This window comes from Homo sapiens, chromosome 6 (genome assembly GCF_000001405.40).
Source record: "Homo sapiens chromosome 6, GRCh38.p14 Primary Assembly".
Taxonomy (NCBI): Eukaryota; Metazoa; Chordata; class Mammalia; order Primates; family Hominidae; genus Homo; species Homo sapiens.
Genome location: NC_000006.12, coordinates 20,724,855 through 20,745,211, shown reverse-complemented (window position 1 = coordinate 20,745,211; position 20,357 = coordinate 20,724,855). Strand labels below are relative to the sequence as shown.

General features: G+C 38.4%; 1 protein-coding gene across 12 annotated transcripts in view, besides 1 other annotated feature; it reads right to left on the bottom strand.

Annotated features, from left to right (window-relative positions):
• CDKAL1 (CDKAL1 threonylcarbamoyladenosine tRNA methylthiotransferase) overlaps positions 1 to 20,357 on the bottom strand; it is a 697,948-nt gene that overhangs the window by 487,193 nt on the left and 190,398 nt on the right. For all 12 annotated transcript variants that reach the window (XM_047418949.1, XM_047418952.1, NM_017774.3 and 9 more), the window contains one exon: positions 5,597 to 5,693. In XM_047418949.1, coding sequence (XP_047274905.1) covers positions 5,597 to 5,693 — 97 coding nt within the window. The remainder of the gene's footprint in view (positions 1 to 5,596; positions 5,694 to 20,357) is intronic.
• Positions 15,857 to 16,057: a silencer, noted in NCBI's record as "peak5720 fragment used in MPRA reporter construct". NCBI's record gives its function as "represses an SCP1 promoter by STARR-seq MPRAs in K562 erythroleukemia cells {active_cell/tissue: K562}" and the evidence as "EXISTENCE:reporter gene assay evidence [ECO:0000049][PMID:32103011]".

Sequence of the window (20,357 nt, the reverse complement as noted above, 5' to 3'; positions counted from 1 at the left end):
AAGTCAATCCTGTTTCACTTTTCGAGATTAGAGCAGCCTGCCTGAAAAGATGTTTAACCACTGCAAATCAACCTGCTAATAGTCCCTGAGATAAGTGGACACCTGTGTTAAACCACATTTCTGTTCAGCTCTCCAAAGAAAATGTTCACCTGCCTGCAGGGCTCACAGCTGGCACATGAGGAAGCCTTGTCATTTACAAATTTTCAATATCAAATTGTATATTCCGTTGTGAATTGCATGTCTTAACATTTTACAACGTGTCTATTAATTTGCAGTTTATTTAGAATTTCTAGAGCTATAATTAGTTACAATGATCAGTCCAATGAATTAACACCAAGACCAACTTCAAATGTGGTCCTTGTTAATAACACAGAAAAACTACACAAAGCACACAATTTCATAAACACACTTTCTAGTAATAGAGTGAGAGCCTAACTTCCTAATAAATGTTGTTCCTGTTAATAATGGATACTGTAATAACTGATAAATAACACTACCTTAGGAAGAAGAACTCAGCAAATAAATATTGTTTCACTCATCTCTCCCTAACACAACTCACAACCAGCAGACACCAAGGGCATTTCCATCTGAGCCTTAAAGAGAAATTCCCAACTAATTGATCTCACTGTGGTCTAGGGACCCATCTCACTAGATTCTCCAGGAAGCTGGAGAAGTTCTGGACTCAAACCAGAATTCTCTCCCTAAGAACCAGAACGTAAGCTCAGTGAGGACAGGGATCTGGGACGATTTTATATACTGCTGCATTCCCAGCACTTGCATAGTACTGTGCAAGGAACAGTACACCAAGCACACAGTAGGCACTCAGTAAGTACTTGCTGAACCAAATAAATAATGATATGGTGGGTCTAGGATTTGAAGCTAGGCTTTCTGAAGCCTGAAGTCTACTACTCTTTTTTTACTGCAAATGTTAAGAGAACATCCTATGTTCTGGTTAACTAATCTAAAAGAAACTTTCTGCCAACAAATTAGCCTAAAAGAAAAACAGAAACATTCAAACAGATATATTCACAAGATATGAAACTATCTACAGCTAACATAAATGACATAAACAAATAGCAGTAATAAAAATGGCATTGCATGAAAACTCTAAGGTAGATGATTAACTATAACTATTTGTTAAAAGAGAAAGGGAATTTTTAACTGTAAGGTAAAATGTTTCAAGATCCTAAAAAGAGACAAAAAGATCCTGATTCTATACTGGTCACTCATAAATATACATCATCTAGATACAAAATTTAAACTTCACTTCATGCTAAGATAGTTTCATATCTTGTGAAAAAGATTTTGGCTAAAACTTTTTATTCAAGACATACATGTTTTCAAATCTGTTCTCTCTCCGCTTCCATTGTGAAGAAATTAGACAGGTTTGTGCACAGATTTTTGCTCCAAGATGGGAGAAGTGCAGAGGTTACAGCCACCAAAGCCAGAGGATCTGGACTCAGAGGATGGCAGGCTTTATTTCTGGTTTCAATGTTGTTATTTTCTTTCCATGCACCATCACACAAATAATATTAATCACAACTAGGTGATTTCAGGAGAGAGTGGGACAGATGATAATAAAAGGCCCAGAGGTCAAAAAATTGCTTACCATGTGTTCTCACCACACTGCCTTGTTCTGATTACTAAACTAAATGCCCCATTCCTACAGGCTTATATTGATGGAAACCAGCATGTTATGATGGTAGTAATTTCTCTCTTTATCTATTAATATCTTCTTAAATGCCTATGCTATGAGCACTTTCAAACATGGGTAAGTACAATAAAAGTCCTTTAACTCAGATGTACAATAAGCAGCTTGCTCACCCAATGATCCCCACCTCATGGAAGTTTTTTATTTTAATCGCCTGGTCAACAGAATTGACACATTCTTCCTGTACTGTAAGGTGACACAGATAAAGGCTAGCAGAAGATAAAAGCAAAGAATGCAGTTACAGTTGTTCTTCCTTCCAACTCTATTAACATCCTCCCATCATAGAAATTTTGTGAAGGAATAGCATTCTTTACTCAATCGTGCAATACAATTCTAAACTTCCTGCTAAAAATAGTTTCCCAAGTCACTGAATTTAAACATCTATTCTTTTTGGACTTCAGAACTGTTTTCTCTTTGTATAAAATATAATTCATTTCTTTATTTCACTGTAACTCACTATATTTGAGAAGGTTTCTAGTTTTATAGCAATTCTATACAACAGTTCTATTCAAAAGTAGGTCTCTCTAAAGGTAAAACTTAGATAATTTTGTTTCCTAATTTGTAATTTGTTTTCAAAATTTTTAGTTATGTGGACATAATTTTCATATATAAAAAGTCAGTGATGATAAATAAAATGTAATATACCTGCCACAGAAAAAAATGCTCTACAAAATGATATTAACAAATAATAATCTTATACTTTAATAATATGTAATGCTGGTAAACATATAATTAAATTACACCTCTGAAATGTTAATGATAGTGTGACCCCACTTTCAGAAACTTTTCAAAATATACTAATTTCAAATTTAAAAAATTTAAAAGACCAGCGAGAGCATTAATGTATTATGCATATTTCCTAAAAACTAGAAAATTCTTAAATACAATAATTAAGAAATAGGTAAAGTACGTTATATCCTTCAATAGAACACTAATGCCACACTTAAAATGGTTAAAAAACTCATGAAAGAACATCAAAAAATAAGAATACAAAATAGGTTTGAGATTACAATTAAGTAAAAGATGCAAAGGTTAAGTCTGAAGAAGATAAGCAAAATTTTAAATGCATTATGGCGATAGAAATATAGATTTTATTTCTACTCACTCTTCAAAATGTGTTCTTATTTCTCCAATTGTAAATGAACAAAATAAGATAAACCTAAAGACTACTAGTGGTAACAAAATGGGACTATATGACAGAACAAAACAGCAAAAGAAACTCTCAACAGAGTAAACAGACAATGTACAGAATGGCAGAAAATGTTTGCAAACCATACATCTGACAAAGGTCTAATATCCAGCATCTATAAGGAACATAAACAAATTTACAAGAGAAAAAACAAACAGCCCTATTAAAAAGTGGGCAAAGGACATGAACAGACACTTCAAAAGAAGACATACACGCGGCTAACAAGCATATGAAAAAAAGCTCAGTGTCACTGATTGTTAGAGAAATGAAAATCAAAACCTCAATGAGATACTACCTCATGCCAGTCAGAATGGCTATTATCAGAATGTCAAAAAATAACAGATGCTGGCAAGACTGTGGAGAAAAGGGAACACTTACATGCTATTGGTGGGAGTGTAAATTAGTTCAACCATTATGGAAAGCAGTGTGGCAACTCCTCAGAGAGCTAAAAGCAAAACTACCATTTGACCCAGCAATGTAATTACTGGGTATATACCCAGAGAAATATAAATCATTCTACCACAAAAACACATGCATGTGAATGTTCACTGTAGCACTATTCACAATAGCAAAGACATGGAATCAACCTACAATGACATATCGGATAAAGAAAATGTGGTACATATACACTATGGAATACTATGCAGCCATAAAAAAACAAAAACAAGAGCATGTCTTTTGTAGGACTATGGATGGAGCTGGAGGCCATTATCCTTAACAAACTAACACAGGAGCAGAAAACCAAATACCATACATTCTCATTTTTAAGTGGGAGCTACATGATGAGAATACATGGACACATTGGCGGTAACACCACACTGGGGCCTATTGGAGGGTAGTGAGTGGGAAGAAGCAGAGGATCAGGAAAAATAACTAATGAGTAAAAGGCTTAGTACCTAGGTGATAAAATAATCTGTACAACAGACGCGTGTTTAACCTGTATAACAAACCTGCACATGTACCCCTCAACTTAAAATAGAAGTTTAAAGAAAATAAATGTTAACCACAGAACAACAAAGGTGTGGGATTAAATAGAAAAAAAAATGTTTATCTGCCAGTGTCACAGCTTTGTGTCGGCCCTGAAAATTGGACTGACACAAAGCTGTGACATTGGCAAATAAACTCATATTAATAGCACTAAGTGTCCTCCCTTACACTGCATCTGGAGAATCTCCTGTACATCCTAACATACGCTTTTCCCGGCACACAATGGCATTTTAAAAAATGTTGCCAAAATGTATGCAGAGAAGAGCCTTTTGCCATACTAGAGAAATTCTGCTATTCTCTAACGTAATTCCTTGAGATGAAATCTAAGATCAACTCCAAGTTTTTACCACATTCCATCTCTAAAAAAGACTTCCAACTAGTTTCCTATTTCCCTACCACAGCAGGATTATGTTTATAGAGAAAGTTAGTCTGACATGAAAAGATAACTCGGGAGTCCCATATTCATTTCATTCCTTAAACCAAGAAAAATCAAAATGTAAACAGACAAATGGTGAAAACAAACTAAAGTTACCAAACATTCAGGTTCTGTTTGTTGAAAGTGAGAATGTTTGTTCAAAGATTATTAAATTTGCTAGTGGGGTAAGGACTTCACAGCAGAAAACAAGTTCATTACACTGAGAACATGATACAAGAACCTGTCAGTAGTATATCAAATAAGGAAAAATCTATCATAAAGTTCAAAGCAGATGCCAATTAATTATGTAAACTTCTTCTATGAGCATATGATGTTTTTACATATTTTTTTAAATTAATGTAGCCTTTTTAAACAAACAACATTGCTGAGCTTATCACCTACAGCTTCAGTAGAATGTTGGGAAGGAAGAAGCACCATCATTTGATCAACAAATATTGACTGAATATCAGCTACTTCAGGGCATTTTTACTCAGTCAAAGAGTAATTGACTACAAAGAACAAGAGAGAGAGAATAGACAGTAGTCTCCTTACTTCACAGAGCTGACTGCCCACGCCCCCCAAAAAAAAGTATGCTAACAACAGAAATACAACGGGAAGATTTTTTTCAGGCAATCAACAAACACTTATTGAGTGCTTACTATGTGCCAGGTATCACAGGAAAGGCTAGAGAAACATGGTGAGAGTTTTAAAAAAAGATTGAAAAACTATTCGCATGAGGCTAACAATTTAAATAGACAGGTGGGCTTTATTCAAAGAATTATACGACAGGTAACTGCACAGTAAGCAAAGAGAAACTAGAGAGAATAATTATGGTGGACTACACGGAGTAGGCAGAGAAGGCTTCACAGAATGTTGTCATGTTGGAGCTGAGACTTGTGGTGGTAGGTATAAGGGAAGTGGGGCATTTGAAAAAAGGCATTGATGTACTAGGGGGCGAAAAGCAAGTAGCTGAGTGAGGTGGAAAAACTGTAATGACTTGGAAAGCGATGGTAACAGACAGCCAAAGACCGGGTTATTAAGGGATGTAAATTCCACACTATGGCTTTTTATTGTGTTGCTCTTTCTTAATGAGAGAAACTAACACATGTTTTTGTGCTAAGGTGAAAAAGTTACACAGAAATGACAGTTTCAGGGACAATAAGGAAAATATGTTTAGGACAGCCATAAGTGTAACATAGCTTACAAATAACCTACAAACAGAAAATAAAATGCGGAGCTATTACAGGTGTTAACAATGTAAGATTTTCTCTTTTTGCATCAGGTACAAGCTTACCCCAATGATACTCAGTCCCTTAAGGTAGTCCTGGCGAGGCTGGGCTTGAGGAACGCATCCAGCCAGTACGATTTTCTTGTTCTCCTCTTGAGCTTTTCTAAAAGATTGAAGAGAAGACAATGTGAATTCCTTTGCTCATGGGTATACTCTTGGAAACTGTTGTTAGTGCATATTAGTTCTCCAAATAATAACAGGCCTATCTCACATGAAACAAGATTTTCTTACAACTGGTTAAAGAACACATAATAAAACTTCTGTACAATATGTCTATTTATCGCAGCATTAAAGAACACAACAGCAGTCCAATCTGATAATGCCATTCATTACCGTCTCATTATAAAACAAAAAAATTCATTATTTTTTACTTTATTCCCAAGGATATGAATCATTCTTGAAAACTGCATTTTCCAGATAGGCAAGCTAACTCTCCAAGTAGGTTACTTATTTTAAATGTTAATGAAAATATGCCTAAAACTTAATAGACTATTTCCTAGTCTTTTGACCAATATAAAAGTAAAATATACTTTAAAAAAACTGAAACAGAGAAGAGTAAATAAAAGGTATAATACCCTACGTGCTAGTAATTCCCCCATCTCCTCAGTCCTGCTCCCTAGAGACATGCTAAAGTTGACTGCATATGCTTACTTCCAGACACAAGACTATCCCTCACATATGCAAGCATATATGGGAAAACAAGCTGGTGCTTTGTACATACAAACATATTTGAAGATTTGAGAAAGTATTTCTGGATTACAGAAACCTAGATGTGAAATCCCCACTCTGTTGTGTAATTATTTCCTCAGTATAAATTCTAAGTAATTGGGTGCAGTGGTTCACACCTGTAATCCCAACACTTTGGGAGGCCAAGGCGGGAGGATCACTTGAGCCCAGGAGTTTGAAACCAGCCTGGGCAACATCGCGAGACCTTGTCTCTACTAAAAATAAACAAATTAGCCAGGCATGGTGGGGCGTGTCTGTAGTCCTAGCTACTCTGGAGGCTGAGCCAGGAGGAGCACTGAAGCCCCAGGAGTTCAAGGTTGTGGTGAGCACCACCAATGATGATGGCGCCACTGTATTCTAGCCTGGGCAACAGAGCAAGACTGTGTATCAAAAAAAAAAAAAAAAAAAAACTAAGAAGTAGAAATGCTGGCTCAAAAGTATACATATATGGCTATTTTTTAAGCATTTCTTTACTCAAGAGGGTGCTAGCAATATGTTTTGATGTGACATTATTCACTCGGGTATGCATATATATAGCAAACATTTATTTTGTGCTAGAAGACAGTAGTGAACAAAGCAGAACTTATATCCTCTCCTAGAAACTAGTCAAATCCTTTGCCCATCTTAAAATTAAATTTTCAAGTCTTTAATTCTTTTGCATGTGTACGGGTATTGGAGTGTGTTTTGATGCTTTGTTCACTTTTATTGCTGAGTCTTTGGGCACTGCGTGTTATGTACCCAATTGGGTCCCTCCTCCCACCACTACAAGCAACCTCTAGGTTTCTGAAACCAACTGAGAAAGGTAAGGGTATTAGCAGCTGAGTTTCTGTCGGTGTGACATTAAACTGTACTACTACAAAGTAAAAGGTCTCTAAACCTGGCACACTTCTTTGTCTTTGTCAACTTTTTCAAGAGTACAAATTCAGAACTAGATGCCAACAAAAAATTGGGCTCTTTGTGATGAACAGCCACATCAAAATTTTCTGGGAAGTACAGAGAGAATGATTAAATAAATGAATAGACAGAGTACAAAATACTATTTTAACGGCACCTGCATTTCATTTCAATAGCTTCTAAGAACACTTTGATATAATTTTTCTTCTTGGAATCTTGAAAAAGCTTGTTAACGAAATAAAAACAAATCTGACTTTGGTAGATTGCATAACACATCCAAGAGAATTATTGCCTGGCTCTGCCACCTGGTTTTACTTTTTATCAGTACCAAGCACATCATTGCATATAAATACTTTTCTTGTATTAAATGTGAAATACCTTATCAAACAAAAAAATCTTTCCATTTTCATTAGCCATGTATACAAAGACGTTAACATCAAGTTTTTCAAGAACTTTCATTATAACACCTAGAATTTCTGCCAAACATCCAAGAGACATTGAGATGACTAATAATTAAATCCAAATTCAAAAAGCCTGCTTCCTAAAATGCTATTCAATTTCTTATTAAGCATATCTAAGACATCATTACACTCAGTGTTTAAGAGAACACGGTAATGAAGAAGACAAGTGCTTTGCACTCAACAAGCTTATGGTTTATAATATTTGAAATATAAAAGAACGTTAAAAACACAGCATTCAGTAAGGTGTCCTTGGTGACAGTGAGATGGATAGCTAACATACCACGAAGTCAAAAAGAATATGCAGAAAGGAAAACACAGGAAAAAGCTTCATGAGGAAATCTAGGAGGATTTTTATTGGCAAGACAGGAGTAGGAAAAATGGAGATGGAGGCACAGAAAGCTCAGGGCAGTTGTTAGAGCATGAACAAAGACAAGGAGGAGGAAAGTATTTCATTATATTAATAGAAATAATTTCTGTAATTGGGAGAATGAGAGGGCTTATACTGTAGAAAGAATCTTAAGAGGGTTGAGAGTCTCTAATTTTGTGGGCAATATGGAAATCTCTTAAGTTTTGGTGGCAGAGTGGAACTTTGAGAACATAACACTGGTGACATAGTGTAAAATGTCAATACATTTGACATCGACATTCCCCTTCTGTTTGCCCTAAATAGAAGGGGAAAAGAAGCCAGGAGGTGAGGAAATTAATTTAATACCCTAGGCAAAAGGATCAGAGAACCAGAACGCATGTGGAGGAAATTTTTTTTTTTTTTGAGGCAGAGTCTCGCTCTGTGGCCCAGGCTGGAGTGCAATGGTGCTGTCTTGGCTCACTCCAAGTTCCGCCTCCTGGGTTCCTGCCATTCTCCTGCCTCAGCCTCCGGAGTAGCTGGGACTACAGGTGCCCACCACCAGGCCCGGCTAATTTTTTTTGTATTTTTAGTAGAGATGGGGTTTCACCGTGTTAGCCAGGATGGTCTCGATCTCCTGACCTCGTGATCTGCCTGCCTCGGCCTCCCAAAGTGCTGGGATTACAGGCGTGAGCCACCGCCCCCGGCCGGAAGATTTTTAAAAAGATGATGATGATTACAGAAATGGAGATTAGTTCTCTTGCTAGAATATACTTGAAAAATACCAAAGGAGGAATCAAAGATAATGCCAAAGTTTTAGTCTAAAGTAGGGGTCAGCAAACTTTTCTATAAAGGGACCAAAAGTCAAAACTTTCAGCTTTGCTGGTCATAAGGTCTCTGTTGCAACTTCTTAAACTCTGCCACCTTAGTGCAAAAGCAGCCATAGACAATACTTACACGAATGGGCATCTAACATTAATAAAACTTTATTTACAAAAACAGGCAGCAGGCCATAGTTTGCTAATAGTTTGCTAATCCACAGCTTAAGAAAACAGAGAGAAAAAAAAAAAAGAAATAGTTGTTCCACTGGTTGTCAGAGCTGAGCACTGGGATAGAAGGTAATAAATTAACATAGGACACACTGAATCTGAGATTCTAGCAATGCCCATCAAATCTCTGAAATGCAAGTTGGCTGGCTGAGAATAAGTGAGGATAGATTTCAAAGTGATAGTTGATGACAGCGGATGCAGCAGTGTCAAAGTGTGAGAGAATCCAATTGAATATAAAACATTACAGTTTTATAGAGGTGTACAAACATTTCTATAGGATCAAAAATAATAGGTGAAAACAAAGAACCAATGATACTATGACAATAAAAACTGTGGTTAGCACTTACATAGCACTTAATCAGGGTAATAGCCATTATGTAATTAGTCATGCAGAATACTTGAAAACAGTACAGCCAATATATAACAACTCAGGGACAATGTTCTCGTGACATGAAATAGGCGAAAGCTTATTTTAAGGGAATAAGAACACCAAAAAATTCAAAGAAAAATTGAGGTGCATGATTAAGTAATTCACACACTATACCATTGATATGGTTTGGCTGTGTCCCCACCCAAATCTCATCTTGAATTGTAGTTCCCATAATACTCACATATCACGGGAGGAGCCCAGTGGGAGGTAACTGAATCATAGGAGTCGTTTCCCTCATGCTGTTCTCATGATAGTAAGTTCTGATGAGATCTGATGGTTTATAAGGGGCTTTCCCATTTGCTCAGCTCTCATTCTGCCTCCTGCTCCCCTGTAAAGAGGTGCCTTCTGCCATGATTGTAAGTTTCCTGAGGCTTTCCCAGCCATGCAGAACTGAGTCAATTAAACCTCTTTTTTTTAATAAATTACCCAGTCTCAGGTATGTCTTTATTTGTAGCATGAGAATGAACTAATACACCCATGTAACAAATCTGCACATGTACCCACTGAATCTAAAATAAAAGTTGAAATTAGTTTTTTAAAAAAAGAGAAGGTCGGATGCAGTGGCTCACGCCTGAAATCCCAGCACTTTGGGAGGCCAAGGCGGGTGGGTTGCCTAAGGTCAGGAGTTCGAGACCAGTCTGGCCAACGTGGTGAAACCCATCTCTACTAAAAATACAAAAAAATTAGCCGGGCATGGTGGCATGCACCTGTAATCCCAGCCACTCAGGAGGCTGAGGCAGGGAATTGCTTGAACCAGGGAGGTGGAGGTTGCAGTGAGCCAAGATCGCACCACTGCACTCCAGCTCAGGCAACACAGTGAGACTCCATCTCAAAAAAAAAAAAAAAAAAAAAAAAGAGGTGCAGCAACTTGCCCCTTTATCCCAGCTCTTTGGGAGGCCTAGGCAGGTGTATAGCTTGAGCCCAGGAAGGCGTTTGAGACCAGCCTGGGCAATGATGTGGAATTACATTGGCTTTGGGGAAAAAATTATTTCATTATTTTTTTAAATTTGGCTTTAAAATTCTAAGGCAGACCAGAACTATAATCTAAGCCGAAATCATAGCTGTCATGGAATATTAACACCATACTTTACAAGTCACCAAATAAAGTAGCAAAGTTTTAATGCAAATTCACACAGTATTTTTGTTCTCAACAGTACCTTCTTACAGCTTGTTCTTTTTGTCTGGTTAGCTTTGTTCAGGTTAATAAAAGCCTTAAAAAAATTTCCTTTAAAAATGTACCCAGCACAGACATATTTTTAAAAGCTTTTATCCTGCAAAATATGAATGGTGATAAGAATAATACCTGAAGAAAATTTAAAATAGTATTAATTTCCATTTCTTCACTTCAGATAGCCTTGAAATGCTAATATAAAAACAATATAAATTTAATATAATGGGTCATTTTTTCTTGAAACATATTTCTAAATAAAGAGAGGTACCCTTTTCTAGAGCATTAACTTGAGTAATATAGAAAACATAAAGAAGCTTTTCCCTCTTGTCTTCCAAAAACCAAATGGAAGAAACAATTTGTACAAAATCTTTTTCTTTCTTTCTTTTTTTTTTTTTTTTCAAGACAGAGTCTCGCTCTGATGCCCAGGTTGGAGTGCAGTGGCATAATCTCAGCTCCCTGCAACCTCTATCTCCCAGGTTCAATTGATTCTCCTGCCTCAGCCTCCTGAGTAGTTGGCACTACAGGCATGCACCACCACACCTGGCAAATTTTTGTATTTTTAGTAGAGACGGGGTTTCACCATGTTGGCCAGCCTGGTCTCAAACTCCTGACCTCAAGGGATCCACCCACCTCAGCCTCCCAAAGTGCTGGGATTACAGGCATGAGCCACCATGCCCGGCCTGTACAAAATCTTAAAATTCATAGCATAATAAAAAATACTTAAAGATGACAAAATATCATTCCCTTACTTCACAGATGAGAAGATTAAGATTTAAGAAGAGGCAATGATTGAGGCCTAAAGTCCCACAGTTTCCATAGTTAGTGCTGGAGCTGGCAGGAGCACCCAAGATCTCCAGATTCCATGAATACCATATTTCAAAAACCTTATTGCATTCAACAATCAGAACTCAGCTGTGTTGGCCAATCAAAACTAAGCAAGTTTCAATCCTTCATTTGCACAAATGGACCTGATTGGAAACCTGGGTGGGAACTTTTGTTATACAACTCAAGCCTCCTCTTCATTCTCTAGAATGCACCTTTGTTTTACACTAAAGGCTTCAAATAGCCGGGTGTCATGGTGCACTGGAATAAAGTCTGTTTCCTCCAAATCCCTTTTTCAGAGAACTTTTGTTCACAAGCATTTCATGTTTTCATTCTACAATTTGTTCATGTATCACATGCCAGACACAAGGAAAAATAAAGACACAAAGATAGTCACTGATCTAAAGTTCACAGTTTAGAGCGAGAAGGAAGAAATATGCTTTAGAAGCCAAGTTTTCATGTAAAAGGGAAGAATGGAAGAACAGAGATGTGGAGATGGCAAGGACAGCTGCAAGTAGCTGTGGGACAGTCATCATGCACCTTTATCAAGAGACCCAAGGATACCAACGTTATGCAGGAGAAGTGGTTTTCCCTGAAAGCATGACTCCATCACCCTGACTCCCACTGAGGTCCCTGAGGGAGAAGGTCAGGGGCACTGGGGCGGCTGGGCAGCTGAGACTAAGAGTCCTCCCCAGCCTACAGTGCCACCTGTTACTGTGTTTCCATCTGCTTTACAAGGGCAACAAGGGTCTGTGAAAGATTAGTTTAAATGTTTTGTAGCTTTATTTTAAGGGGAAGAAATGAGGATACGTATACAGACTTCTGTGAAGAGGTTAAGGGTCTTTAAAAACTTGGTTCATTATAGAAAGAGAAATTCAATGAGACACATACAAAAAGTTTGAAAAAGAAACTACATGGGAAAAATGAAGGGCGGAAAAGTAAACGATGGAGAAAAGTCAAAGGTGGTACCTGCAGAAATTAGAAAATGGTGACTGTGGTGCTCGCACAATGAGTAATGAATGAGAAGTACAGTAAAAATAAAACACGCATCAGAGGGGCTTAACTAGCCTTATGGCTCCAAAGTGAACCAAGTGCAGACAACGGGAATGATTCCTTAGACTTGTAAGAAGATACTTGTCAGCCAGGCATAGTGGCTCACGCCTGTAATCCTAGCACTTTGGGAGGCAGAGGCGGGCAGATCACTTGAGGTCAGGAATTTGAGACCAGCTTGGCCAACATGATGAAACCCGATCTCTACTAAAAATACCAAAAAAAAAAAAAAAATAGCCAGGTGTCATGGTGCACAGCTGCAATCCCAGCTACTCAGAAGGCTGAGGCAGGAGAATCGCTTGAACCCCGGAGGCAGAGGTTGCACTGAGCAAAATGGTGCCACTGCACTCCAGCCTGGGTGACAGAGTGAGACCCTGTCTCAACAACAACAAAAAAAAAAAAAAAAAAAAAAGAAAGAAAGAAAAGAAAAAGAAAAAAAGAAAAGGAAAAGGAGATGGTTCTCATAGCCAGGCAAGATGGTACACACCTGTAGTCCCAGGTACTCAGGAGGCTGAGGTGCAAGGAGAGTTTGAGCCCAGAAGGTCGAGGCTGCAGTGAGCTTCGACTGTGCCACTACACTCCAGCCTGGGGAGCAGAGCAAGACTCCATCTCAAAAAAATTTTTTTAATTAAAAAATAATGTTTAAAAAAAGAGAGAAGATGATGCTTCTGAGTCCTACCAGGCTGGCTGCTACAGGTCATCCTCCCTGGAAATCTTTCACCAGATGTCCTGGCAGCAAGGTAAGGGGAGAGATCTTGTCATCCTGGGAGGCTGGCTGCTGTTGGCTATGGTCTGATGGGGCTCCATGACAAACTGAATGGATGAGACTGGTTACTTATGAGTTCTGTGCCTGGGCCCATTTAACTCTAGGTAAACCTAAAAAATCAAATTCCTGAACCTGCCAAACTGAACCTTTCATACCCTGAAAATTACTGTCAACGCCTATTTATGTCACCTGATAGACAGCTTGTCTCTATGACACATGTTTCCACTTCTCTACAACTGAAACTCCAATCCTTCAAGATAATGAAGCATATATACTACCTAGCTTCTCAGGCTAGTGACTTAAAAGCTGTATCTAAAGTACTAAAGGCCGTAAGTTTGTTCTTTGATTTAAAAATTCAGCATCAAGTCATTTGTGCAAGTTAATCTCAGTCAACAGCAAGTCCATCCTTCCAGTTCTTCCCATAACTCTTAGAATTACTCTTAACTTCTCTCACACTCAATCCATCAGCAAATCCCACTCAGAAATATACCATGTTTCAACATACCTCAGAAATATGTCCAGGTTTAAGCCACTTATCACCATCCCCACAGCTACCACCATGGTCTAAGCCAGTAACACTTTTTCCCTGCTGCCTTCCATCTTCATTCCCTTAGACTTTGGTCTCAACACAGCAGTGGTCATTTTAAAACAGAAGCCAGAACATGGTACTCTTCTCCTGAAAATCGTTTCATATATCATCATCTCACAAGGACTAATAGTTCATAAGAATGGCCTACGAAGCTCTAACTACCTGGGCAGTCCTCCCTTCTGCGTTCCTTCCCTTATCTTCTCCTACTCTTTCCTCATTCACTCTGTTTCAGCCACAGAGGCCTTCTGAGTGTTCCTGAAAAAAAGTCATGCATGCACTTGACATTAAGCCATGGCACTTGCTGTTTCTCCACTGATACATTCTTGGCCCAGATGTCCACATGGCTCACTTTCCTTCATCTGCCTCAACTTTGCTCACATCGCCCTCTCATCTGCTTAAAACTCTTATACTCCACAGCAACACCACTGGCTGCTTCCCTGCTTTATTTCTCCTTCTCTCTTTTTTTTTTTTTTTTTTGAGACGGAGTCTTGCTTCTTAGCCCCAGCTGGAGTGCAGTGGTGTGATCTCAGCTCACTGCAACCTCCACCTCCCGGGTTCAAGCAATTCCCTGCCTCAGCCTCCCGAGTAGCTGGGATTACAGGCACGTGCCACCACACCCAGCTAATTTTTGTATTTTTAGTAGAGACGGGGTTTTACCATGTTGGCCAGGCTGGTCTCAAACCCCTGACATCAAGTGATCTGCCCGCCTCGGCCTCCCAAAGTGCTGGGATTACAGACATGAGCCACCACACCTGGCCTATTTCTTTTTCACAGTACTTCTCACCTGTTCCTCTACCATGTAATCTCTTTCTTTCTTTCTTTCTTTTCTTTTTCTTTCCTTCCTTCCTTCTTTCTTTTCTTTCCTTTCTTTCTTTTCTTTCTCTTTCTTTCTTCCTTTCTTTTCTTTCTTTCTCTTTCTTCCTTTCTTCCTTTTTTTTCGGGTCGGGCTCCATCTATCTATCTTTCTTTCTTTTCGGGTCTGGCTTCTTTCTTTCTTTTCTTTTCTTTCTCTTTCTTTCTTTTTTTTTCAGGGTGTGGCTCCATCTCAGCTCACTGAAACCTCCACCTCCCAGGTTCAAGTGATTCTCCTGCCTCAGCCTCCCAAGTAGCTAGGACTACAGGCACACGCCACCATGCCCCAGATACTTTTTGATTTTTGTTGTTTTTGTTTTTTAGACACAGGGTTTTGCCCAGCCTGGTCTCAAACTCCTGAGCTCAAGTGATCTGTCCATCTCGGCATCCCAAAGTGCTGGGATTACAGGCATGAGCCACTGTGCCAGGCCAATGTAATTTTCTTATTTAACCTTTTAATAGTCTGTCTCCAACCACCTCCTTCCTCCAGAGCATGAATGTCATAAAGATGGGGATTTTGGCGTATTTTAGTCCACAAGCATGCTACCAGGCTTAGAGTATGCCTGGCACATTGTAGCAGCAAAAAGGAAACAGGAGAGAACTAAAAGTACAACCACGAGGAGTAGCTAACATGAATCACGGCATAGGCACAAAAAGGAACCTTACGGTCATTTGAGAAGCAGGGTAGTAAAATAGTTAGCACCCAGACTTAAGCCAGGCTGCCTGGGTTCTAACACTGGCTCTGCTATTTACTAACTATATAACCATAGGGGAATTACTTAACCTCTCTCTGCTTCAGCGTCTTTACCTGTAATAGAATTTCCTACCTCATGAGGTTGTCGTGAGGGTTAAATGTTAATATGTGAAAGCACTTTAAAAGTGCTGCCACGCAGTAAGTACTTTATAAACTGAGAATTATAGAGATCTACAAGTGCTGACAAGGAAATGTGTCCACAATATATGGTTACACGAAAGTAGCAAGTTATAGAACAGGATGTAAACTATGTCCAATTTTTATAAAGAGGGTACATGCATAGAAAAACCTGTGAAAGAAAATACTCCGAATTGTAAATAACTACTTTTGTTGGATAAGACATTAAGAAAAAAAAGAAGAAACTCTCAAAGCCTGACACCAAAACAGAGCAAGAGGAAAGAGTTCCCCAGCAGCTGTGGGAAGGCTGCATCCTGACAAGCTCCTTAGAAGGCATCATCCCAAGATTAAGACTAATCTAAGGGGACAGATGTCATAAAGAGTACCTCCCTAACTACCTGCCTAACTTGCTTTATGTAACCTCAAAGAGTTCCCCAACATTAGGGGAGTTTCTCTTGGATAGGAAGGTTGCCTGTTTGAATGGATTTTTACCCAACTGGTCAATATTTTCTACAATATCCCTGATAAGTGATCATGTGGCTTCTGCTTCATTTCATCAGATGTAGGGAGTTCATTACTTTAACACTTCCTGTTTAATCACAAATGCCATATGTTATTATTATAAAACTTTAATTCATATACCTTTCACCTATTCATCCAAATTTGCCCTTTTAATGTCAAAAAACTGAACTACATCCCAAATCATTTTTGGTCAAAAAAAATAAAAAAAGAAAGAAAAGAAAAGAAAAAAGAGTAAGCATTCTAATAAAAATGTTTCCACAACGTGTTTACCTTTCTTATTATAGAGAATATAGCGAATCTAAGTGACTTGGTAAGGTGACTGCCTCAGATAATCGGAGTACATGTAGAATTTCAAATTTTTAAAAGACATCAAAAGCTTTCTAGCCCTGTCATTTCGTTTTATGAAAGAGGAAACTGAGGACCAGAAAGATTAAATGGCTTGTCCAAGATCAAAGTAAAGACAGTGTCATTACTGGAAATCATCTATCACTGTCCTTTGCTTCAATATAATAATGCCCTAAGCTAGGGGTTACCAAGCTCCATCAAGCTGTGTGGCCCCATAATAAATAATCTCAATAAGCCATACATATTCACTCTTCTTTTTCTTTTGTGGGTGTCACCTATTACTTCTCAATATGTCAATTTCTAACTTATCTACTCAATCTACCATCACCATTTCTAACTGCTATGTAATGAATCCATAAAAATTTCTGGAGTAAACGATGAAAATCAACAACTTCCTTTTATATATGATTTTTGAAATTCATTAATGAATATTTATTTTGTGCCTATCGTGCATACAATATAAGCTTAGATACCTGTCAGATACCAAGAGGAATTTTTGCTTCAAAGAACACACATGAAGTTGGAAAGACCACCCTCCACTGAAATATACAAATTATACAGAAATACACATGAACACTTAAATAAAAGGTTAGGACATTATTTGTACATTAATAAACACAAATAAGTTCACAGACCAGTGGCCACTAGACATTTTATGAAGGCACTCACCAGTGAAAACAAAAGCAAAGAACAGAAAAGCTCTCATGTACCCCAAATACATGCAACTACATATAAAATATATACATGCAGTACTACAGTACTATATTGCACACACTATAAAACTGCCTTGAAATTAGAATATTTTTAAGTGAAAAACAGCAAAAGAAAATTAATGTTCTGAGTTCAAATAGGACAGAACTCATTGCAGGTCCAAATACGGCCCTTATAAAGTCTGGTGTAGTATTATCAGTCACCTCAAAACTCATTTCCTCATGGAAGGGGACAAGAATATACCATCCAAAAATATGCCACTATAGCATAAGAACTATTTTCAGCTGAAAGCATTTAAGAAAAAGCAGACACAGAAAAAAATCTCCCTGTCCTTCCCCATCTTACTAAAAACAGCACATAAAGTTCCATTTGTAAAGGTGTCTCCCTCTCCAGTATCAGGAAGAGAACTACTCTGAAGACAACTCTTGGCACCTGAAAAGACTCTAGTTTGCATTTTAAAAAACCTTACAAATGACCCTTATTTACTGTACCCTTTTTAGTCCCTTTCCCACAACTTACCCCCCTCAAGAAGCCCCAAACCTTTTCTTCTTTGTCTAACAAGACTCTTCTCTGTATTTCATTCCCTTTGTTAAGATGGGATATAAGCCCCAAATTCTAACTGTGTCCTTAAGTCACATTCATTTGTTAAACCCTGTATATCCATATGTAGTTATATGTATGTTTTTATTCCTGTTAATCTGTCCTTTATCATTTTGATTCATAGACCCCAGCTACTGAGCCTAAGAGGGTAGTGGAAGAGCTTTTTTCCTCCTGTGACCTGCAAGATCAAAATGATGCCCCTTAATCAACTAAGACAGACCCTAAAGTTAAGGAAACAGTTACCTGTGGGTCAAGGGTTCAGGGCCTGGCTGGCATGGCATTTTTCTAAATTCCTATGGCTATAAGAGTAACCACCCTCTTGTTTAACTCCTTAACAATAGGAGCTATCAGGCAAATTTTCAGAACTGATTTACAACCCAGGCCACTTGATTAGACAGATGATGGGCCTTATAAACATTCTTTTCCGATAAGCTACTGGAGACCAGAAACCAGTTTCAGCTAGTTTATAGGGGCTGCACAAAGTCTTTGTGTGCTTTTGTTCACCTTTTGATATAGATAGTGAAATTCCATCTCATTTTAATGCTAAAACCCCACCACAAAGTGAATATGGGGTATATGTTACATAAATGTTTACTCATTGTGCTTGTACTCAGCTCTCCTCATAAATATGTAGCTTTTCCCCCAAACCTGCTGAATATATATGACTCCACTGTGTAATACAGAACTGGTGAGGCATAAAACCCAGTCTGTCCTTTTCCTCTTCAAAGAGAGAGCACCTTCAGTCTATGCTGGAGACTTCCTCTTCCCAGCTTACAAACCAGTATCACCAATAAAAGTTCTCCTTTCTACTGTTTAGCCATCCTGGGAGTCTTTGGGATGTCACTTCCCTGTAACATGAAATTTAAGGTTCAATGGTATTTTTGTGTTGTCAACAAAAAGAGTAAAACTCTAAAATATTTAAAGAAGTTTATAATGCGCTCAATATGAGTGACCATGGCTCCAGGCACAGTCTCAAGAGGTCCTGAGAACATCTGCCCAAGGTCGCTTGGTTACAGTTTGATTGTATATGTTTTAGGGAAACAAAAGGCATCAGTCAGTACATGTGAGGTATATACTGGATTGGTGCAGAAAAGTAGGATATATGGAGAACAGGTGGGGGGAGGGTCACACAGGTCATAGCTGGATTCCAAGATTTTCTGATTGGCAATTGGTCAAAAGAGTTATTATCTAAGACCTGGAATCAATAGAACTGTCTGGGGGGTTGTGGAGACCAAGGTTATTCTGCAGATGAGGTCTTATAGGTGGCCACCCTTAGAGACAAATAAATGGCAAATGTCTCCTATCCAAACCTTTAAAAGGTGATAGACTCTCAGATGCAAATACTCCCCCCTATAAAAGATGGCTTTGCAGGGCCATTTTAAGATATGGAAGAAAAAAAAACGTATTTTAGGGTAAAATATTTTGATTTTTCTTATCTGTTATGTGATATTATGCCAGAGTCAGGTTGAAAAGTAAGGCATATTATATAGGGTTAAATAAAACCCACCTGATGAAATTTATATGGTTTGTAGGGTGTGACACCCTAGATCCCTTAGATAAGAATTTGGGCAAGAGAGAAAAAAGGTTAGAGTTTAGTCCTCAGTGTAACTTTTTCTTTTTTTTTTTTTTTTTTTTTAGACGGAGTTTCACTCTTGTTGCCCAGGCTGCAGCACAATGGCATGATCTCAGCTGACCGCAACCTCGGTCTCCCAGATTCAAGTGATTCTCCTGCCTCAGCCTCCCGCATAGCTGGGATTACAGGCATGTGCCACCACGCCCGGCTAATTTTGTATTTTTAGTAGAGACAGGGTTTCTCCATGTTGGTCAGGCTGGTCTTGAACTCCTGACCTCAGGTGATCCGCCTGCCTCAGCCTCCCACAGTGCTGGGATTACAGGCATAAGCCACCATGCCCAGCTAGTCTTCAGTGTAACATTAAGAACCAAAGGAAAGTCAGATGAGTGAGGCTTACGGAAGTCAGACCACTGCATATACGCCTCACTGCATTCAAAACTCACCTTGCACAGCATGCAGCATCTGAATCAATTATTTCCTTCTTGTTAAGCAAGGTAAAGTGCTCCATTCTTAAAGGGATTAACAAAAGTAACCTCAAGTATATGGCATATATTCTATATTCCTATTATGAAGAATAGCCTCTCATAAAATGAAAAAACAAATCTATAATTAGTTCACCTCCCCTAAGATCAATATCCTGATACTCTACTCACACCAACACTGTAGAAGTTAGTATCTTTCAACAAGGGGAGAAAGAGAGAAAAGAAAAAGGCGGGGGTGGGGAGGAAACTCCAGAATATATCAGTATATCCGAAGACCTTAATAAAGTGACACTGAGAAGAGAAGCCCTGATCAGCTGTTACATTTAGTGAATTCACCATCCAATTTGCAAATCTCATTGCACTTTACCCTAATTATCACATTCGCCAAGAATGACTAAAATTAAATGAGGACATGCATCTACATTCTGGGGTAGGGAAGGAAGAAATTTACATTCTGGTTCCTACTAAAAATTTAATTAAAGGGATAAGGTTTATGAGATACTTATATTT